Raw genomic sequence first — 23,495 nt, 5'->3', positions numbered from 1 at the left:
CCAGGCGTGGAGTGGCAAGGTGCATGAGCAAGTGAGTGTGGAGTCCGGCCGCTGCACACAGTCAAGTGGGCCGGCTCCTGAAGTAGCAGGAGCAGTTTCCAGGTACCAGCACAGGCAGCAGCTCTCTGCAAGGCTGCAGCTGGAGGAGGCACACCACAAGCAGCTTTGGCTGGCCCTGGGGGGAATGCAGTAGTGCCTGGAAGCTCAGAGACTCCAAGAACCGCAGGGCCTCAAAGAGGGAGTCACAGCCCTGGCTTGGGGAGCCCCCAGGTCTGGGCTCCCTAAAGGGCCTCAGCTCTTCTTTCCCACTCTTCACCTGCAATGTGGAGAGCAAGCGGCGTGTTTCAGCCCTGTTTGTGTTACAGCACTTCTAGACTTGCCATTTGGCACCTTGAGTTCTTACCCTGCAACCAGGAAGACTGAGGCATGCAGACAAGTGGAGGGTGAGCAAGATGAAGAGGAGCTTTACTGAGCAGTAGAACAGCTCAGGGACCCACTGTGGGTAGCTCCTTTTTGCAACCAGGGTGTCCTGACGAGTGTTCAGCCCTCAGCAGAGAGGAGAAGGCCCTGGGGTGGGTGGCCCCTCTCTGCTGGCAGGTTGTCCTGTCATTTCCACAGCTCTTTGCAGAAAGGAGGACCTGGAGTGTGTTTCTCCTCTCTGCAGGTAGTTCATTGCTGGAGTGGGAAGGCTCTCTCTGCAGCTGGTTGTCCCATTGTCTCTCCTGCTCTGGCTGAGCCTGGGGCTTTTATGGGCCTCAGGGTGGGGAAGTGCATGCTGATTGTTCCATGGACAGCCATGGGCGGGCCCAGGAAAAAGCACCATGAGTTCCCCCTCCAATCCACAGGACTGGCGGCCTGGCCCCCAGGCTTCAGATCTTCTCCAGCCAGAAGGTGGGGCTTCACTGGGGACCCACCCCCTGCCACCCAGGAACCCGTCTGCGTCCTGCTGCTGTCCATGGTGCCCAGGCTGCTTGAACTAAGGGGCACCTGCAGGCCAGCACCAAGCTGCCCTCAGCCCCTCCTTGGCTTCCCCTCCCATGCTCGTGGGTGCCCAAAGCCTGTAGGGGGCTGAGGCGGTAGGGAGCTGGTGTGTCGGTGCTGCCCCGAGTGTGTATACACCCAGCTGGGCTGTGACAGTGCCTGGGCTTGGCCCCAACCATGCTTCAAGATCAGAGAGGGTGCTGAGCTGGGAAGAGGCCAGGCAGCAGAGCAGAGACTCCTGAGCCTGTGGAGATGGGGGGCCTTCCCAGGCCCCCAAGGGTGCAGACTGCAGAGATGCCCGGGTCTTGCGCCTGGGAGGGCAGCTGCAGAGGTACCCAGGGAGGGCGGGGCTTCAGCCCACTCTGAGAATGGGAGGCCCAGGCCTGCCTGTCTGCTGCAGCTGGCATCTTGGCAGCTGCCATTCTAGATGGGCCGCTTCTGCTATCACCTTCCTAGGATCCTTTCCAGAATGTCTCTAGAGAATATTTCCAATTGGTGTCTTTTCCAGAATACCTAATATCTAGGTTGAAGGAGTGTAGAGGTTTTGAAGGTGAAGTTTTTGAAAATCTAGTTTGCAATCATGGAAGATAAGAATGATTATTGAATTTCTCTTTGACAGTATTTAGCTAGGTCTGCCTGAAGCAAGCTCCAATCAATTACGAGTGGTAAAACTTACCAGTGCATGGGTCTTCTAGTTGTTAATTCATAAGGTTACAATCTGTAAGTTCCAGAACAGGCTGACCTGATGGCCACTAGAGGTAAAATTCTCAGCCATGGATGTTTAAGAGCTTCAGATAACTTAACCAGTTTTATTATTTTTATGTTTTAGAGACAGAGGTCTCTATCTGTTGCCCAGGCTGGCATGCAGTAGTGCAATCATAGCTGACTGCAGTCTCAAACTCCTGGGCTCAAGCAATCCTCCCACCTGAGCCTCCCAAGTAGTTAGGACTACAGGTGCATATCATCCCTGGCTAATGTATTGTACTTCATTTTATTTTTTTGGAAACAGGGTCTTGCTATGTTGCTCAGGCTGCTCTTGAACTCCTGGTCTCAAGCAATCCTCCTGCCTCAGAAGCAGTACAGAAAGCAAGAAGCAATAAGAAAGAAAAATGAAAAGCTCCCGAGTAGCTGGGATCATAGGCGCACATCACCACCAATTTAAGTTGTGTACCTACATTTGTACCTCTACCTTTTCTGGAAACTGAAGAGTAAGGGTAACAAGAATTTTTTTTTTTTGTTTTTTGTTTTTTTTGAGATGGAGTCTCACTCTGTTACCCAGGCTGGACTGCAATGGCGTGATCTTGGCTCACTGCAGCCTCCGCCTCCCAGGTTCAAGTGATTCTCCTGTCTCAGCCTCCTGAGTAGCTGGGACTATAGGTGTGTACCACCACGCCTGGCTAATTTTTGTATTTTTAGTAGACATGGGGTTTCACCATATTGTCCAGGCTGGTCTTGAACTCCTGATCTCAGGTGATCCACCCACCTCAGCCTCCCAAAGTGTTGGGATCACAGGTGTGAGCCACCGCGTGTGGCCTAGATTTTTGACGAAGTAGTAACACCTCACCAAGTCCCTTTATGACTGCTCCAGTAAATGAGTACCTTTAATATTAGTGAGTATGATTGGCTTCCCAGGTGGGAAAAACCATTGTCTAACTTTTTTTTTTTTTAAGTTTAGTTATTGCAGTGGCTTTTCTACTTGAGAAGAGCTCACCTCCAGAGAATTTACAGGCAACCTTTAGCGCATATGCATAATCTCGTGACTTGGGAAAGTGGATAAAGCCCATTTTCAAGTGTTTAAAAGTCCTCTGGGATATAGCTCAGACCTGTGTCCCACCATCACAATTTTTTTGTGGGGGTGGTTATGATAGTACAGATGAGGCATATACCTTTCACATCTCTAGTTACCAAGGGGAAATGTCCCCACCAACTCTTATCCGTGGTAGAAGCTCTGTTGTGCATTTTGGTCAATTTCTACCTCAGATTTTTGGTGTAAGCAAGAGGCCATCCTTGCTCCATTAGAGACCACTGAAATTGACAGAACAACCTGATTTTAGCCAGCATTTCTATTTTCTTTTCTTTCTTTTTTCTTTCTTTCTTTCTTTTTTTTTTTTTTTTTTGTTGTTGTTGAGATGGAGTCTTGCTCTGTCACTCAGGCTGGAGAGCAGTGGCTCGATCTTGCTCACTGCAACTTCCATCTCCCAGGTTCAGTCGATTCTCCTGCCTCAGCCTCCAAGTAGCTGGGATTACAGGCACACATCACCACGCCTGGCTAGTTTTTGTATTTTTAGTAGAGACAGGGTTTCACCATGTTGGCCAGGCTGGTCTCAAACTCCTGACCTCAGGTGATCTACCCACCTCAGCCTCTCAAGGTGCTGAGATTATGGGTGTGAGCCATCGCGCCTGGCCCAGTGTTTCTGTTTCTTGAATCTAGGGCTAAATACTCTGTCTGAAATAAATTGTATGTAAAAAAATCTATTCATGTTTTTACATTTCCTTCATCATAAATAACTCCTAAGAACAAGGAGAAAAGTGCACTTCCTTTGTTTAATATCTGCCAATGCACTCCCATCACCTTCTTTATTATGGCTTGTACTATGTGCCTTAACTTTTAATTGTATGCCTCTTTTGAGAGCATCAGTGCTTCTAACAAATCTACTTTTTTCTCCCTTTTTTTAGGCCTCTCTGATGAGGTCAGCTATTCCTTCAGTCCCATAGCATCACCAAATTATATACAACACCAAGGCATAATAGCTGTGTGTGTGTGTGTGTGTGTGTGTGTGTGTGTGTACATGTGTCCCTTTTGGCATCAGCTCTGGTAAGGGCTACTAGTTCTACTATTTGAGATGGCTCAACTTTGGGTGAAAGGTTATCATCTAGTACAGTTTTTTTTGTTGTTGTTTTTTTTTTTTAGAGTTTTCGCTCTTGTTGCCCAGGCTGGAGTACAATGGCACAGTCTTGGCTCACTGCAACTTCCGCCTCCCTAGTTCAAGCAATTCTCCTGCCTCAGCCTCCCAAGTAGCTGGGATGACAGGCACATGCCACCACGCCCAGATAATTTTTTGTATTTTTAGTAGAGATGGGGTTTCGCCATGTTGGCCAGGCTGGTCTTGAACTCCTGACCTCAGGTGATCTGCCTGCCTCAGCCTCCCAAAGTACTGGGATTACAGGCATGAGCCACTGTGCCCGGCCCTAATACAGTTTTATGTAATCATTGCGTAACTTCAATGGTATTGACCTTGATCATTTAAAAGCAACACTTGCTGCAGATTCTCTAGGAGAACATCAACTAGATCTTCCTTGGAAATACTCGACTTCATGTTTGCTGTACTATAGTCCTGGGGCTCTTCTTCAGGTGGTGGAAGCAATACTGCAAGACTGAGATGATAACACTGACACATGGTGGGTAACATGAGAGACCAACAACAGCAGCCAGCCTGAGCTAATGGGCTTGCAGAGCAGTGCTGGCTGTTGCTTGTCAGTAGTATGGACTGAACAGCCTGGGCAACCCATGGAGTTAATGGTGCGACAAGGATAATATCTACAGAAGCACTGACCGTTTTGCAACCACTGTTAAGGCACATAACAAGGAAGAAAACCCTAGCCACTGAGTCTAGAGAAGTGCCTAAATCAGGAGCGGTTTCTGGTACTTCCCATGTTGTTGAGCTAAAGCCTCTTTTTGGTACCCCATGGCACCTCCTTTTTGCTTCAGCTAAAGGAAATGTGCCAAATGGGCGTAAGGTAAATGATGATGATGTTCAGGTGGAGCCGGTATTGGGGCCTGTTGTGATTTAGATTTCAAAGTGACAAGGTCAGTTTCATCAAGGAAGTTTTCTGGTTGCGTGTTTTTGTTAAGTTCATGGAGGAGTCAAGTTACGCTGGAAAAACTGGGAATCCATTGCTTTTCATACCTCTTAAGTTTCCCAAATCCTATGAGTGTCCAATTTTTGGGTAGAGTGTGCCTGTTGGTGGAGAGGTCACCTCCTAAATCATGTCCCACCTCTTGGCAAAATGGTCATTTTTCCTTTGAGGCTTTATCATATGTAGCCACTTGCTCCTTTAAAAGGTGGATTGAGTCCTCTGGAGGGTTTTCCGGGAGAGGTATATATGAGGCAAAGTCTTCTATATTGAATGAAATTGTACCCTTTTGGGAGTATGTCCTTTAAATCATGATTTAAAGACTGGAAGGAATATAAGGTGTCTCTGAGGTATTACTGCCCAAATACCTGTATACTGTTAGTCATTCTAAATAAAGAAAATACCTATCGACTATATTTACAGATATGCCAAAGAAGGCTGAGAAAGGTCTCTCACAGTACATTTGCCTGTACTGTACATTACAGTACATTTGCCTGTAAGTGAAACTGGAGATAGAATAGCATTAGAGTGGGGCACTGCGGGAAACCTAGGGATAACTTTAGGAATGTTTCTTAAGTCTTGAACAAATGAACATCCCATCCCTTTCCATTAGGTTTGTAAAAAGGCGATACATAGACTTCTGTGAGACACTTTTGATTTGAGAATGTATAATTGGTTTTATTCCTTGAATAACTTCTGCTTTCAGAGGACATTAGAGTGGCTTAGGCAAGGACTTGAGAGGATCTACCTGTGTGTTTTTAGGCTCTGTTCCTATTGTATGTCCTCCATTAACAGAGCTTTTGCTCATAAATTGCAATGTACCAGCCAGAGTAAGTTATCTACAGTTTCAAGAGTCATGGTCTAGGCAAGTTTAGGAAAGTCAAGTGTAGAAATAGCATGCTGTGAAATTGGGTGGTTCTTGCAGGTGGGCACTTAATATGACAGCTGCATTTATATAAAGGGCCTGTTCCAGGTGGGTGGAGAGGCATGAAACCACGGAGGAGAAATCAATGTTGTCTTCTGTTGGTCCTCATATGGTGGTCAAGGCAATGGATAGAGAAGTGGGTTTGAAATACCCACTGTAGTAACCCATTGATTTCTCTGAGTGAGTGATTGTTTTATTGCAGTAGGGTTCAGGATAGACAGAGTGGCCCTTGTGTCAACTAGAAATAGGCCTTTGTGTCTCTTTATGTCTATAGATATGGTAGGCCATGTCCTAAAAGTGCCTCCATGCCCCAAGATTTCCATCCCTGGTTATTCCATCAAATGTTCATCTAGGTACTGCCAACAAGGGATTTTGCAGTTATAATTAAGTTCCCAAGTCAGCTGAACTTAAGATTCAGAGATTAACCTGTGAGATTATCTGTGTGAGCCTAATCTAATTACACGAGTCCTTAAATGTAGAGGACTTTCCCCAGCTGATGGGAGAAGAGGCAGGTAGAAGAGAAGGCAGAAGGAGAAAGAGCCCAACCACAAGAAGGAACTGAAGTGCCATCACTGGTTTGAAGACACAGAGGGCCTCACGTAGAGAAGGACAGTGGCTCTTCACCCCTAGCTGACAACCAGAAAGGAAACAAGCTCCCCAGTCCTACAACTGTATGGAACGGAACTGTGCCGGCATCCCGAGTAAGCACGAAATGGGTTATTCCTCGAGCCTTCAGATAAAAACCCAGCCTGGCCCACACCTCAATATCAGCTTTGTGAGACCTTGAGCAGAGAAGCCAGTCAAGCCACCTGGACTTCTGACCTCCAGAATGGTGAGGTGATCAACGGGTGCTGTTTTAAGCTGCTAATTTTGAGGTAATTTGTTAGGCATCAATAGAAAGCTAACACAATCAATGATTTCTTTTCTTCTGAATCAGAGAACAGAAGACATAGCCAAGCACTCTTATGGCCTTTGGAATTATGCCAGCAAGAGCTCTGTTGACTACAACTGGCCTTTTACTTTCAAGACAAGACCAAAAACATAAATCTGACATTTGCCCTGCTTCCAGTGTGACCTGCCACAGTCAGGAAAAACCTCACATATTTCACTCTGAAATAAATCATGTCTTATTCTAGTACCCAGAATCAATAAAATACTGAGCATTTCCCACAAAAGTATTATGTCTTTCAGAAATATGGTAATCACGGCCAGGCGCAGTGGCTCACGCCTGTAATCCCAGCACTTTGGGAGGCTGAGTGGGCGGATCACGAGGTCAGGAGATTGAGACCATTCTGGCTAACATGGTGAAACCCTGTCTCTACTAAAAAAATACAAAAAAGTAGCTGGGTATGGTGGCGGGCACCTGTAGTCCCAGCTACTTGGGAAGCTGAGGCAGGAGAATGGCGTGAACCCTGGGAGGCAGAGCTTGTAGTGAGCCGAGACCACACCACTGCACTGCAGCCTGGGTGACAGAGCGAGACTCTGTCTCAAAATAAATAAATAAATAAATAAATAAGGTAATCACATGAGAAAAACGACTGGTTCCCCACCATGAACAAGCTACTGTAATGTGGCAACTTTGGTGAGGTTGCAGGGAGGCATCATTGCTGCGGTTTTCAACATTCGTGCTTTCTGATTTGGTGGGTAAATGCTCCTGATGTCTGACTGCCTTGCATGCTTTGCCTTTTCTTTTCAAAATGCTTTTGCCTTTGAGTCCTCCTTTGATGCTGGACACATTTTTCCAAAGTCCCTGCTGTTGGCAGGATCTACATCTATTTTTTTTCACCATTTAGACTTAATTCTAGGTTAACTGAGAAACAGAATTCTCACGTCTCATCATCCCTGGCTTTAAGGTTTGGAGTGAGCTCTGCAGATTGGAGGGCCATGGATTTCTTTTCTTTTCCATATGCTCCATTTCTAAGAATTCTCTGATAATGTCCTGCTATAGTGTGTATTTGGTGTTCCTCTTAAGTTTGTGGTCTCCCAATGAACTCAATTTATTTCTCTTTTTTCAGAGATGGCACCTTGCCGTGTTTCCCAGTCTGGTCTTTAATTCCTGGGCTCAAGCAATCTTCTTGCCTTGGCCTCCCAAAGAGCTGGAATTATGGGATTACAAGCATGAGCTACCATGCCTGGCTGATCCCAATTTCTTCTGACTGGGTTAGTAACTTTGGGACCCACTTCTTTTTTTTATTTTTCTTCTTTACTTTTCTTTTTCTTTTCTTTCTTTTTTTTTCTTTTTTTTTTTTTTATGGAGATGGAGTCTTGGAGTCTCGCTCTGTTGCCCAGGCTGGAGGGCAGTGGCATGATCTCAGCTCACTGCAACCTCCACCTCCCCGGTTCAAGCAATTCTCCTACCTCAGCTTCCCGAGTAGCTGGGACTACAGGTGCATGCTGCCATGCCTGGCTAATTTTTTGTATGTTAGTAGAGACGGGGTTTCACCATGTTGCCCAGGCTGGTCTTAAACTCCTGAGCTCAGGCAATCCACCCGCCTCGGCCTCCCAAAGTGCTAGGATTACAGGCGTGGGCCACCGCGCCCGGCCAGGACTCACTTCTGTGATGATGAATTCAGGCAGAACCCTTTGAGCGTTTACTTCCCTGTCTCTATATGACTCCTTTCGATAACCGGCTTTATTGAGATATCATTTATATACTGGCAATCTGCCCATGTAAAGTGCACAATTAAATGGCCTTTAGTATATATTCATAGGGTTATCACATAATCCATTTTAGAACGTTTTTATTTTCCCAAGAGGAACTCTGCACCCCTTTGTCATTGTCCCATCAGCCCTTGGCAACCGGTAATCTACTTTCTATCTGTAAAGACCTGCCGGTTCTGGACACATCACAAAAGTAAAATCATAGAACATATGGTCTTTTGGAACGAGTTTCCTTCACTTAGCATGCTGTTTCCAGGGTTCATTCCTGCTGAAGCATGTATCAGTTCATTTATTCTTCTTGACAAATGATATCCAGTAAAATGTATACCACATTTTATTTTATTCATACATCAGTTGGTGGACATTTGGGTTGTTTCCACTTTTTGGATATTATGAATAATGCTGCTTTGAACATTCACGTACAAGCTTTTATGCAGGCATATGTTTTTATTTATATTCAGTATACGCCTACAAATGGAATTACTGGGGTATATGGTAACCATTTGAGGAATGGCCAGTCTGTTCTCCAAAGTGACTGTACCAATTTACATTCTCATCAGTAGTGTATGAGAGTTACAATTCCTTCAAGTCTTTTTCTTTCTTTCTTTTTTTTTTTTTTTTTTGAGACAGAGTCTCGCTCCGTCACCCAGGCTGGAGTGCAGTGGCCCCATCTTGGCTCACTGCAAGCTCCGCCTCCCAGGTTCCCATCATTCTCCTGCCTCAGCCTCCAGAGTAGCTGGGACTCAGGTGCTCACCACCATGCCCGGCTAATTTTTTGTATTTTCAGTAGAGATGGGGTTTCACCGTGTTAGCCAGGATGGTCTCAATCTCCTGACCTCATGATCCACCTGCTTCCGCCTCCCAAAGTGCTGGGATTACAGGCGTGAGCCACTGTGCCCAGCCTCTTCATGTCTTTTTTGATGCTTGTTATCACTTGTATTTTCGAGTCTAGATTTTCTGTTGGATGTGAAGTGCCGTCTCATGTGGTTTAGATTTGCATTTCCCTGGTGGCTAATGATGTTGAACATCTTTTTGTGTGCTTATTGGTCCATTTGTATAGTGGGAGAAATGTCTATCTATTCTAATCCTTTGTCCACTTTTCAGTCGTGTTATTTGTGTTTTTATTGTTGAGTTGATAGGATAATTTGCAAATATTTTCTCCCATTCTGTGCTTGTATTTTAACTACCTTAATGTTGTCCTTTGAAATACAGAAATTTTAGTTTTAGTGAAGTCCAATTTATCTACTTTTGGTTTTGCTTCTTGTGCTTTTGGTGTCATCTCTAAGAAAATGTTGCTTAATCCAAGGTTGTGAAGATTTAAGTCTATGTGTTCTTCTAAGAATTCCGTAGTTTTAGCTCTTACGTTTAGGTCTTTAATTCGTTTTTACTTGCCTTTCAGTTTTGCATGTGGAATGAGGTAGGGGTTCAATTTAATTCTTTTGCATGTAGACATCCAGTTGTCCCAGCACCATTTGTTGAAAAGAATATTATTGGCCAGGCGCGATGGCTCATGCCTGTAATCCCTGCACTTTGGGAGGCCAAGGCGGGTGGATCACAAGGTCAAGAGATCGAGATCATCCTGGCCAGCATGGTGAAATCCCATCTCTACTAAAAATACAAAAAATTAGCCGTGTGTCGTGGCGTGTGCCTACAGTCCCAGCTACTTGGCAGTCTGAGGCAGAAGAATCGCTTGAACCTGGGAGGCAGAGGTTGCAGTGAGCCGAGATCGTGCCACTGCACTTCAGCCTGGGGACAGAGCAAAACACCGTCTCAAAAAAATATATAGTATGTATGTATGTATACATATACACTATATATATAGTATATATATAGTATATAGTATATATATGTGTATATATGTACATATGATATATATGTGTATATATGTATATATGATATATATGTGTATATATGTATATATGTGTATATACAGTATATATATGTGTGTGTGTATATATATATGTATATATATAATTGTTATTCCCCACACCCAGTTGAAAAGATTATTCTCTCCCCCCTATTGAATGGTTTTGGCACCATTAATGAAAATCAGTTGAATATAGAGATGCACAGGTTCATTTCTAGATTCTTAATTCTATTCCACTGATCTATATATCTATCCTTATGCCAATACCACGCTGTCTTGATTATTGTTAACTTTGCATTAAGTTATGAAATTGGGAATTTTAAGTGCTACAGATTTGTTCTTCTTTTCCAAAATGTTTTCTTTTTTACTATTTTGGGTCCATGAGTTCCTATATGAATTTTAGAATCAGCTTGTCAATTTTTGCAAATAAGTCAGCTGGGATTTTGATAGGAATTGCTTTAATTTTGTAGATCAATTTGGGTAATATTGCCATGTTAACATTATTAAGTCTTTGAATACATGAACATGGGATATGTTTTTGCATATATTTAGAGTTTCTTTAATCTCTTTCAACAACATTTTGTGGTATTCAGAGCATAAGTTATGCACTTCTTTTGTCAAATTTACTCCTAGGTATTTTATTCCTTTTAATGATCTCGTAAATGAATTTGTTTTTCTAATTTCTTTCTTTTTTTTTTTTTTTTTGAGACAGAGTCTTACTCTGTTGCCCAGGGTGGAGTGCAGTGGCGCAATCTTGGCTCACTCCAACCTCTGCCTCCCGTGTTCAAGAGATTCTTGTGCCTCAGCCTTCTGAGTAGCTGGGACTACAGGTGCGCACCACCATGCCCGGCTAATTTTTGTGCTTTTTTTAGAGACAGGGTTTCACCATGTTGGCCAGGCTGATGTGGAACTCCTGACCTCAAGTGATCTGCCCACCTTAGCCTTGCAAAGTGCTGGGATTACAGGCGTGAGCCACCGTGCCCAGCCTGTTTTTCTACTTTCATTTTTTGATTGTGCATGCTAATGTATAGAAATACAACTGATTTTTTGATATTGATCTTGTATCCTGAAACTTGGCTGAACTCATTTATTAGTTCTAATATTAATTTTTTTCTTAGACCCCTTAGGATTTTGTAAAGACAGGATTAGATAATCTACAAATAGTGATGGTTTTATTTTTTCCTTTCCAATTTTGATGACTTTTGTTTCATTTTCTTGCCTAATTTCGCTGGCTAGAACTTCCGGTATAATATTGAGTAGAGGTGGCAAGAACAGACATCTTGATCTTAGGGGAAAAGTAGGCAGTCTCTCTACTAAGTATGATATTAGCTGTAAGTTTTTCATAGATGCTTTTTATCAGGCTTAGGAACTTCTATTGCTAGTTTTTAAAAGTGACTTTTTTAAATTATGAAAGAGTATTAAATTTTACCAAGTGCTTTTTTGCATCTATTAAGATTGTTGTGTGTTTTTTCCTTTATTGTAAAGGCATGGTGTATTAAAATAATCTATTGTTAGATATTAAGCCAACTTTCCATTCCTGGGATAAATCCCACTTGATTATGGTGTAAATCCTTTTTACACATTGCTGGATTCAATTTGGTAGTAATTTGTTCAGAATTTTTGCATCTGTACTCATAAGAGATACTGGTCTGTAGTTTTCTCTTCTTGTGATATCTTTGTTTTTGGTATTGGGCTATTATCAGGCTCATAGGAAGAGTTGGAAAGTGTTGGCTTCTGTTGTATTTTTTGGAAGATTTTGTGAAAGATCAGTATAATTCTTTAGTAAATGTTTGGTAGAATTCCTCAGTGCTGTGCTTTTCTTTGTGGGAATCTTTTTTCTTTTCTTTTCTTTTTGGTTTTTTTGTTTTGTTTTGTTTTGTTTTGTTTGAGACAGGCCCTCACTCTGTTGCCCAGACTGGAGTGCAGTCTCACTGCAGCCTTGACCTCCTGGGCTCAAGCAATCTTTCCACCTCCATCTCCCAGAGTAGCTGGGTCTACAGGCACACACCACTGAACCTGGCTAATTTTTATTTTTTGTATTTGTAGAGATGGGGTTTCACCATGTTGCCCAGGCTAGTCTCAAACTTCTGAGCTCAGACCATCCACCCACCTCAGCCTTCCAAAGTGCTGGGATTACAAGCTTATACCACTGTACCTGGCCTAGATTTTTTCTTTTATTACTAATTCAATCTCTTTTCTATGACTATTTATATCTTCTATGTTTCCCTAGAATCAGTTTTGGAGTTTGTGTCTTTCTAGGAATTTGTCCATTTCACCTAAGTCATCTAATTTGTTGGCATACAGATGTCCATAGTATTTCCTCACAATTCTTTTTTATTTCTGTAAGTTGGTGGCAATGGCTTCTCATTCATTTCTGATTTTAGTAATTTGATTTCTCTCTCTTTTCTGTCAGTCAGCCTAGGTAAAGGTTGGCCAACTTTGTTGATCTTTTACAAGAACCAACTTCTGGCTGGGCGTGGTGGCTCACACCTGTAATCACAGCACTTTGGGAGGCCAAGGCGGGCAGACTGCCTGACGTCAGGAGTTCATGACCAGCCTGGCCAACGTGGTGAAACCCCATCTCTACTAAAAATACAAAAATTAGCTGGGCGTGGTGGTGCGCACCTGTAATCCCAGCTACTCAGGAGGCTGAGGCAGGAGAATCGCTTGAACCTGGGAGGTAGAGGTTGCAGTGAGCCGAGATTATGCCATTGCACTCCAGCCTGGGTGACAAGAGTGAGACTTCGTCTCAAAAAAAAAAAAAAAAAGCAAACAAAAACCAACTTTTGATTTTGTTGATTTTCTCTATTGTTTTTCTAATTGTTATTTCATTAAATTCCTCTCTAATTCTTCTTATTTCCTTTCTTATGCTTGCTTTGGGTTTAGCTTGCTGTTCTTTCACAGTGTCTTACTGTGGAAGGTTAAGTTGTTGATTTGAGATCTTTTTTCTTTGTTATTATAAGTATTTACAATTATAAATTTATCTGTAAGAACTGCTCTAGCTGCCTCCCGTAAGTCTATGTCTCACTCTTTACTTTTAGTTTGTACAGCCAGCATTTGACTTATTTTTTATTGTGATAAAATATATGTAACATAAAATTTACCATTTTAATTGTTACGTCTGACTTTTGCATAAATGCTTCAATCACAAACTTTCGGCAGAACTTTTAGGACAAGAAACAGAGAGACAAACCGACAGATAATTATGATAAGTATGGCAAATGACAATTTTGTGTAACAGAGAGACTTTCAGATTGAGTCAAGACTCGGCCAGTTTTTTTCTGGACAGCATTGGTCTCCACGACCCAACATGCATTTGAACAAGAAGTGCAGACTATAAATGGAATAGGCAGAAATTTAGAGAGCCGTGGGACTCTGCAGATGCTCAGTAGCTTATTTACTCCTCCACGACAAAGATTTCTTTCAAAAGAGAGTTAATAGATAAGTTACAAATCAAGGTTGAAAACTCAACAAATCACTTTAGCATCCCAACAAAGTCTCACACTGAGTCATGCATTGGAAACTGCTGACCAGGATTCAGGTTATAACTCCACAAACAAGAAAGGCATTATTGCTGTTGAGTGACTCACCACAAAAAGCAGCAGAGCCCCTGACCGTGGGCTCAGCCCTTTGAGCTGAGGGCTCACACTCCTCAGATTGGGCTGTCCACTGCTCCAGACAAGGAGAATCGACAAGGCAATCTTAGTGGAATCTCCAGAATTGTTAAAGGAAAGGCAATGAATGCCACAGTGATAGAAAAATAGAACACTGGATTTATTTACTTGCTAGGCAACAGCCACGCCCGGCTAATTTTTAAACTTTTGTAGAGATGGGGTCTTGCTATGTTACCTAGGCTAGTCTCAAACTCCTGGCCTGAAGGGATCCTCCTGCTTCAGCCTCCTAAACTGCTGGGATTACAGGTGTGAACCACCACACCCAGCCCTTTGTTTTTTATTAATTGCACAGAAATCCTTTCTATTCTCACTAAAACTTTTTAAAACAATGTTTTTAGTGAGCACAATGTGACTGAATAAGCTTCATTATGTTCTTAAACCTTGATTCAGCACTCTGAGATGCAGAAGGTAAAACAGTGGTTCTCAGCTGGCAGGGTTTTGTCTGCCACCACTCTGGGGACATTTGGCAATGTCTGGAGATGGTTTTGGTTATGACTTGCAGGGACTATGCCCTTGGAATCCTGTGGATAGAGACCAGTGGTGTTCAGGATAAACCCCCACCACCAAGGATCACTGGGCTGGAAACATCAGCAGTGCCGAGGTGGAGAAGCCCTTAGCTGGAAGAGCTGGCCCTGCAGCAGGCACTCTGGGCTGCCTGGCCCATAGCCACTGTTTTTTGCTGGCAGAGCCTCGCCATAGAAACTGACAAGGCCAGATTCCTTTTGATTTCCCTTTCCCCTTCCTTCCTTGCAGAAAGGACTGAGCCAATTCTGATCAGCAGGCAGCAGCCATTACCCTCTGAAGGTCAACGCAGTTAGGTGCAGTGACAGACACACTTGGAGGTGCCACAGCCTCCTGCGTGTCCTTGTACTCCATGTCCATTTGGTCTTCTTCACTGTGGGGCATCCTCCTGGCCAACAATAACTCCGACCATCTTCAGGTGCTTGGCTGAAGAAATAGCTTGCTGTAGATGTCTCCTCTGCTTTCATGGACCAGCGTTGGCAGTGCGACGAGCTTGATTTCTCAGACCAGCTAGTTGGTGACTCCTCCGCTCTGCACACTTCCCTCTCATACCTTCTCTTCTCTAGCTCCTCCTGCAACTGGCAAGGTCTCGTTCCCGTAATAGATCTCTCATCCCATGACCCATTCTGGTTCTGCCCACCTGAGGAACCCTGGAGGATGCCCCTGAATATTACCATCTGCAGTGGGCAGTGTTCTCTCTGTCCCTTGAGGTTATGAAATTTCCATCTTGTTCAACTTCAGAGAAGTAGAGTATGTTCTAGCCCAGGAAGGACACTCACTCTCTCACTCACTCTGATTTTGGCAGGTTCTAAATCTGTCATAACCTCACACATCCAGTTATTCATGGACAAGGGAACATGAGCTCAATCTGACTTCTGCTTTTGGAGAGAAAGTGGGTGACCTGATGTGTTTCTGAGAAATGAGTCTAGGGAGGTGTGTGCCCCACTCTCTGCTCACTGCATATGTCCCCATTGCAAGCACATTTGTACCCCAGTGCTCATCTTTACCTTTATGATGTCCTCCCAGGTGAGAAATCACCCAAGTGGTCATTGCCACCCCCTACTATTTCAGTGTTTGGGGTTTTGGAAATGATTTACTGACATTGTATCAGAGCATAGTAACATTTAATCAGGGGCTGGCTTTCTCAAGGACAAATATTTTCTGACATCAGTTCCTAAGCAGAAGAGGCCAACAGCATCTGAGGATCCCTTTGTTTGGGTTTCTGGCAGTTACCTCCCTTCCCAGGGTGAACAGTGACTCTGCTGTATGAGGATTTACTTATCTTCCTGTCCTGTGTTTTTGACATTCTGAACAAAGTTTCTGGGGAGTAAACTTTATGTTTAAACCATGTTTATGTTAAGCTTTATCTGTTCAAAAATCAAGTATATATAGTTGATCATAAAATAATGACATTATAGAAAATGTGAACAAATATAGAAATGTTTTTGGTGGAACATAAGTCACTCTAAATCTCTCAACCCAGAAATACTGCTGTCACCATCTTGAGCATTTCAGTCTCATCTCTGGAATATATTTAGCTATATTCATGTCTTACAAAATTAGGGTCAAATTACATATACTGAGGAGGCAGCAAACTTTAAAAATAAAATAACCCCTGACTCACAGACTGAGGGAATAATATAATTTGAATTTGTGAGAGAGAAAAAATTATGTTGGTGTCAGGGTTGTTTTTCAGATAATTCTGAGATGGTGGCAGGAGCGTCGTATCAGGGTCTTGCTTCTCTAAAGTCCTGGATGTGGTGATGGACTACTGGCATAATATTGCTGTGTAGCAGACAACTTCACAATTTCAGTGGCTTGTAGCAACCAATGTTCATTCTTCATGCACAGCTGTGCAGGCCACTGGGCTCAGCTGCACTGGGCTCTAAGCTGCAGGGCGGCCTCTGATGTGCCCCACGGGTTCCTCCTCCTTTGATCAGCAGCACCTGGACGTGTTCTCATGGTGAAGGGCCAGAGCCCAGGAGCTGAGCCAACTGTACGCACAAGCACATTCCAGGACTTTGCCCACACCTCAACTGCTAACGTTCCATTGGCCAAAGCAACAGTTGCGACGTGAGGAAACGCCCCTCGTCCACAGCAGGCATGAGGGGAGGAGAAAATCATCCCAATGGCCACACGCGACGAGATTGCTTTTCCATCCCCGTGAAGAGCTACAGCTTTGGTGAGAGTTGCAGGAGCTGGTTTAGGCTTGGAATGAGCTGCAAAGAGGGCCTGCTTTAGCACCAGGCAGAGTTTCTCTTTCTTTCTGTCCTTGAAGACTGAACCAGCTCCTCTTTTTCTGTGTCTGTATCTCTGGCTCCTGCACAGGGGGATTTGGCTCGCCATGAGAAGGAGACATTTGTTGTCAAATAGATTTATGTTCTGGAGGGCTTTTTCTTCCAGAGCAGCCTTACCTCATCAGAATGTGGAAGGGACCTGGCTCAAGAGGTCCCAGTATCGACGACAGCAGCCAATATTTTAGACAAATCTTTTCCTTGCCTCAGCAGTGGAGGCTCCATCCTGATTTTATAAGACAGGAGCAGGTCTGCAATTAAAGCCCATAAATCACAGGTGGCTGGAGCAGACACCTCTGTTTTGATTCCTGGATAAGCTGTGGTCTCACATCATCAACAGCGCATGGCTGGGGCTTGAATGATCAGTCTCAGATGACCTGAACTCACAGGGAGAGGCCTACACGGGGTCTGTTTCCGTGGACCCCCTAGGTGTGCTGTGGCTGCACCCTGGGGAGCCTTCTCTCGCTATTCCTTGGCAGGAGAATGGGTCATCGTGGCCTAGTCCTGCCACACTTCCGAGCTCCTCTGTGTCCTCTGTGTCCCCTGTCCCATGCACGGGGTGCACATCCCGCCCTACAGTGCAGGACTCCTGAGCACACTATGGACGAGGCTGGGTGTCTCAGGCTCATGGGAGACCCAGCATGGCCCCTGTGATATTGTGAACCCCGTTTCCTGGCACATGACTCTTGAAATCCTTAGCAACTACACAGTGATGTCTTTTTGCACATGAATGAACTGACTGCTGGCTGGCAGCACCTAGGAAGGTTGGGGCTGGTTACGAGCAACACCTAGGCAGGATTAGAGGGTTAGGACTTTCAGCCCAACCCCCCAACGTGGAGGTTGAGTTGATCACCAATGGCCAGTGGTTTAATCAGTCATGAAGCTTCCATAAAAACCCTAAGGAGGCCGGGTGCGGTGGCTCATGCCTGTAATACCAGCACTTTGGGAGGCCGAGGCGGGCAGATCATGAGGTCAGGAGATTGAGACCATCCTGGCTAACACGGTGAAACCCCGTCTCTACTAAAAATACAAAGAATAGCCGGGTGTGGTGGCAGGCGCCTGTAGTCCCAGCTACTCGGGAGGCTGGATGGCAGGAGCTTTTGGATGGCTGAACACGGGGAGCTTCTTGGAGGGTGGTCCCTGGGGAGGGCGTAGAAGCTTCGTGCTCCCTCTTCCATGCCTCACCCTGTGCATCTCTTCATTTGTGTCCTTTGTGATCAGCCACTAAAGGTAAGTTAAGTGTTCCCCTGAGTTATGTGAGCTGCTCCAGCAAATTAATCAAACCAAAAGAGGAGCCATGGGGACCCCAACTTGAAGCCAGTCAGGCAGGAGTTCTGGAGGCCCCGGACTTGTTGCTGGTATCTAGCGGGGCTGGGAAGGGGGGTAGTCTTGGGCACAGAGCCCTCACCCTCTGGGATCTGATACTCTCTCCAGGTAGACAGTATTGGAACTGAATTGGGGGATACCCAGCTGGTGTCCACTGCAGAACCGATTGCTTGTTTATTTTTGGGGAGAAATCCCTGCACATTTGGCCATAGAAGTCTTCTGTGTTGATTTTTGTGGGGTGAGAGTAGAAAAAGCATTTTGGGTTTTATGGGAGTTTTTTTCTACTTTTACAGCCCCAAACAGGAGTGGGGGTTGTAGGGAAGAGGTGGGCGGAGCCTACTGCAAGTTGCAGGGCTATATCCAAGCTCTGCTGGGAGGGGATCGTGTGCACTTGTCCTGGGAGGGGGTCCTGGCACAGGAGCCAGCACCAAAGGGTGACAGTTCTTACCCTTACCCCACAGGGCAAGTGGGGTAAAGACATGCTCTAAGCTTGTCTGGCAAACCGGCTAATCCTCCTGCACACCGAACCTTAGGGTCTCCGCCACCCTCCCCTACAGCAGGCACTTGGCATCTGGTGCACATGAAGGGGCATCTGAAGACCTCGTCTCCAGGGCATCCCCAGCCACCACACCAGAGGTGCCAGGTGTGGCCAGCTTGGTGTGGCTGCCAGTGGAAAGTAACAGCCCCACCACTGGCAGAACCCAGGTAAGACCCCGAGCAGTGAGCCCCTCATGAAACCCCCACCCCGTTTTTTCTTTTTCTTTTTTTTGAGATGAAGTCTCCACCCAGGCTGGAGTGCAGAGGCACGATCTCGACTCACTGCAACCTTCGCCTCCCGGGTTCAAGCGATTCTCTCGCCTCAGCCTCCCGAGTAGCTGGGATTACAGGCACCCGTCACCACGCCCAGTGAATTCTTGTATTTTTAGTAGAGACAGTTTCACCATTTTGGCCAGGCTGGTGTTGAACTCCCGAGCTCAGGTGATCCTCCCACATCGGCCTCCCAAAGTGCTGGGATTACAGGCGTGAGCCACCGTGCCCGGCCCCCTCACCCCATTTCACAAAACTTAAGTGTGTGGACACTAAAATAGTTTCCTTCTGACATTTCTGATTGCAAAATTGTGCATGAACTGATTGAAGCTGATCTTTTCCCTCCCCACCCTTCTATTTTTGTCCCTCCTTTCCTGGTTCAGCTGGGCCCTTTTAAAAACACTGAAGGCTCCACTCCATGTCATACCAAATACATTTCAATGCCCGCCCCCCCCAACATCAAATGCAATTTTATATTCCTACATGTAAATTGAATTACAATGGATTATTTGACATAAAATACATCTTATAGATCTATGGATGTTAATGTTGATTTTCTTTTCTTTCAAAAGTTGGAATCAATATTTCCTCCAACCCCTCCCTCTCCCTGAAGCCTCGGGGACCTTGGAAAGCTGGTACATGTGCTTATTCAGCCTTTTGGGCAATTCAGTGGGACCTGACACATGTTGTCATCCTGCCCTGGAGAAGGCTGACAGTTGGTGGTGCCAGTCTCTGCACTTTCACAGAATCCTGGGGCACACTGAAGGCAGTTTCTGAAGAACTTACTCCCACGGGAGTTTGGAGTGGAAATGTTCCTCCAACTAAAAGTTTACTCATTCAGCAATCACAATTCATTCATGCTGGATGCAATCCTAATGCCAACGTTTGTTTCCTTCCTGACATCGCACCTGAATCAAGGTCAGGCCAGACCTCTGAAGCCTCATCCTCATGCAACTTGTCTCACAGTGGAGAGTGGCTGGTCTCTCTGCATTACCGTCCAAAATCACCTGTACCCCCTGCAAGACTGGGCTTCCAGGAAGAAACCAGGTGGGAAACCTGATGTAAAACCAACAGGTAGAGGCAGCAGAGGGAGGATCCAGCCACGGGCTGAGACTTGCCAGGGACCTTTGCGGCTTGCTCTTGGGACCTGCCCAGGCTGGAGTGCAGTGGTGGGATCTCGGCTCACTGCAACCTCTGCCTCCTGGGTTGAAGCAATTCTCCCTGCTTCAGCCTTGTGAGTAGCTGGGATTACAGGTGCCTACCACCATGCCTAGCTAATTTTTGCATTTTTTTTAGTAGAAACAGAGTTTTGCCATGTTGACCAGGCTGGTCTTGAACTCCTGATGTGAGGTGATCCACCTGCCTCAGCTTCCCAAAGTGTTGGGATTACAGGCATGAGCCACCGTGCCTGGCCTCTGTTAACCTGATTCTTTATCATTTTAGTAAACAGGTTATAAGACATTTCTGTATTTGAAAATAAAAGAAACATTGACTCCAACATTCTGAGGAAAAAAATCCAGGAGTTTCTAGCTACAAAATAAAAGACAGCATAAAAAAGCAGCTGGCTTTCTGGTCCTAGACAAGTAGATTCACTTCCCTCTGCTCCTTTTTGTTAAGTAAAACTAAAAACCCTGGAAATAATTTAATGGATAATCATAAGGACCCTTGGAAAAGTAAAAAGAGGCAGGCAGCCTGGTTCGAGAACTCAAGACTTGAGGACTGAGGTGGTGGCGACACTCTGGGTTTTCTTTTTATCTTTGCTATATTCTGGACTGGGTGCTAGAGAAGCCTGCAATCCAGAACCACCATAAGGCACAGATGGAAAATAAAGCTTGAAGAAAAACCTTATTTATCTAGCAGAGACAGGGAAATGGGCAGCCCACAGGACGGAAGTCCTTTTTGATAATATCCACTTTACCTCCAGCTAAGTGCACACCTTAGCAACTCCAGCACTGCAGTGAAGTCTCAAAGGAGAGTCTAGACTCCTATGCCCCGCCCAGCAGCAGCAGGCAGCCTGGGCTGGTGCCATCAGCAGAGGCCAGGGAGGGGGTGTGGACTCCCACTCCCATCCACCAGGGCCAGGTGGCAGCTGTTGGCAGCAAGTTGTTGGCAGCTGTTGGCAGCAAGTTCCTTCCCTACTGGCATGGTGTCCACAGAGATGGAGTGGGGAGTCTGGACTTCTGTCCCCACCCCCAGCTAGACATGGGGAAGAGGATCTCAGATAGGAAAAAGCTGGAGAAAATGATTCTTTAAGCCCTGCCTAGAAGGTCTGGCGCAGACAGCTGATCAACCCAAAGGTAAAAACTGACCAGTTCAACACATCAAAAGATTAGAACTGGACCAGTGTGAAAGTTTCACACATGCAGATGTACATACGCATTGCAGAGTGCCCCGCAGGTGGCACACTAACAAACTTGACTACAGTAGCACTACAGGGGCTCTGAAAACTCAGTCGTCATTGGACCCGCAGCCTAAGGGACTTGCATCCTAAGTCTAAACGGGGAAACTGCCTGCTAAAATGGAAACTTTAAAGAAGACAGACCCTGAGTCTTCTAACATAGTACCCAAAGTCTCCAAGATACAATCAAAGACCGCTTGTCATGCCAGGAACCCAGAAAATAACTTGAATGGCCACAGACCACAAACAAAAGCACACATGAAGATGATTCAGCAGTTGAAATTTGCTGATGAAGATTTCAAAGCCGCCATCACAAAAAGTTTCAACAAGCAATTACAAATACTCCTGAAACAAGTAAACATAGAAAGTCTCAGCAAAGAAATAGAAGATGTAAAAAAGGAACTAAATGAAAATCATAGAACTAAAAATACAGGAACTGAAAGAAACAGTTTGCTGAATGAGCTCCGTACTAGCTTAGAGATGACGGAGAATAAAATTAGTGAATGTGAGAATAGAGAAATAAAATTTACTCAATCTAAATAATACAGGCTTATGCCTGTAATGCCACCATTTTGAGAGGCCGAGGCGGGGGATCACCTGAAGTGAGGAGTTCGAGATCAGCCTGGCCAACATGGTGAAATCCCGTCTGTACTAAAAATACAAAAATTAGCGTGGTGGTGAGCACCTGTAATCCCAACTACTCGGGAGGCTGAGGCAGGAGAATCACTTGAACCCGGGAGGTGGAGGTAGCAGTGAGCTGAGATCATGCCACTGCACTCCAGCCTGGGTGACAGAGCAAGACTGTGTCTCAAAAACTAAGTAAATAAATAAATAGAGAAAATAGCCTGGGGGAAAAAAATGAACAAAGTCTCATAACCTGCAGGACAATGACAAAAGAACTAGCGTTTATGTCATCAGAGTTCCAGGATAGGAGAAAATTTGTGAAGCTGAAAAGGCGCCAGAAGAAATAATGGCTGAAAATTCCCCAACTTTGGTGCAAGGCATAAACTTAGATTCAAAAAGCTAAGTGAATCTCAAACAGAATAAAACCAAAAGAATCCACATCAAGATACATTATAATAAAACTTCTGAAAACTGAAGACAAAAATCCCCAAAAAACACAATTGAAAGCAGCTAGAAAGAAACGATGAATTAGTTACAGGGGAACAATGATTTGAATGACAGAATGTTCATCATCTGAAACCATGGAGACCAGGAGGAAGTAGCCCAGCATTTTTCAAGGGCTGAAAAATAAAGAATTATAAACCCTATGTCCTAAAACTAGTGAAAGTACCATTTATTTCTGAAGGATAAAGACATTCGCAGACAAAGGAATAGAATTTGTTGCCATCAGATTTACTCTTTTTAAAAATTTTATTTATTTATTTATTTTAATTTTTGAGACAGGGTCTCATTGTGTCACCCGGGCCGGAGTGCGGTGGCATGCTCTCGGCTCACTGCACCCTCCGCCTCCTGGGTTCAAGCGTTCTGCTGCCTCAGCCTCCCGAGTAGCTGGGATTACAGGTGTGCACTACCATGCCCCGCCAATTTTTGTATTTTTAGTAGAGATGGGGTTTCACCATGTTGGCCAGGCTGGTCTCGAATTCCTGGCCCCAAGTGATCCACCTGCTTTGGCCTCCTGAAGTGCTGGGATTACAGGCATGAGCCACCATGCCCAGCCAAATCTACTTTTAAAGAACAGCTAAAGAAACAAAATGCAAGTGATAGCAGATGGAGATGACAGAAAGAGGAAAGGAAATACAGAATGAAAGAAAAAAACAATAGAATAAGTAAAAAGGGCAAACGTAATAGACTATCCTTCTCCTTATGCAATTATATTTGATGGTTAAAACAAACATTATAATGCCATCTGGTATGGTACTCAGTGTATATAGAAGTACTTAAAACGATATTTAAAAATTGGAGAGGGCAAAGGGAAATAAAGGGAAGTAAAGTTTCTACACTTGACTATGGTAAATGTCAATACTAGTAGACTGCGATATGCTTCATATATTTTGGTATACCTAGAGCAAACACTAAGAAAATTATTCAAATGAATAAAAAACATTATGAACAAATCAAAATGAAATTCTAAATAACATTCAGGTAATCCACAAGAAATCAAGAAGAGGTACACAAAGGAACAAGAACTGGAGACAACACACAGGAGATCAATAATAAAATG

General features: G+C 44.6%; 1 protein-coding gene across 3 annotated transcripts in view, besides 2 other annotated features; it reads left to right on the top strand.

The window, feature by feature from the left end:
• ENTREP2 (endosomal transmembrane epsin interactor 2) overlaps window positions 1-23,495 on the top strand; it is a 557,698-nt gene that overhangs the window by 22,584 nt on the left and 511,619 nt on the right. The window lies entirely within an intron of this gene.
• Window positions 691-1,191: an enhancer, noted in NCBI's record as "H3K4me1 hESC enhancer chr15:29943839-29944339 (GRCh37/hg19 assembly coordinates)". NCBI's record gives its function as "activates a minimal SCP1, AML or CMV promoter by ChIP-STARR-seq in naive H9 embryonic stem cells {active_cell/tissue: H9 hESC(naive)}" and the evidence as "EXISTENCE:reporter gene assay evidence [ECO:0000049][PMID:30033119]".
• Window positions 20,482-21,001: an enhancer, noted in NCBI's record as "H3K4me1 hESC enhancer chr15:29924029-29924548 (GRCh37/hg19 assembly coordinates)". NCBI's record gives its function as "activates a minimal SCP1, AML or CMV promoter by ChIP-STARR-seq in primed H9 embryonic stem cells {active_cell/tissue: H9 hESC(primed)}" and the evidence as "EXISTENCE:reporter gene assay evidence [ECO:0000049][PMID:30033119]".

Source organism: Homo sapiens, chromosome 15, assembly GCF_000001405.40.
Source record: "Homo sapiens chromosome 15, GRCh38.p14 Primary Assembly".
NCBI classification, from domain to species: Eukaryota; Metazoa; Chordata; class Mammalia; order Primates; family Hominidae; genus Homo; species Homo sapiens.
This window is presented reverse-complemented; position numbering and strand designations above follow the sequence as displayed.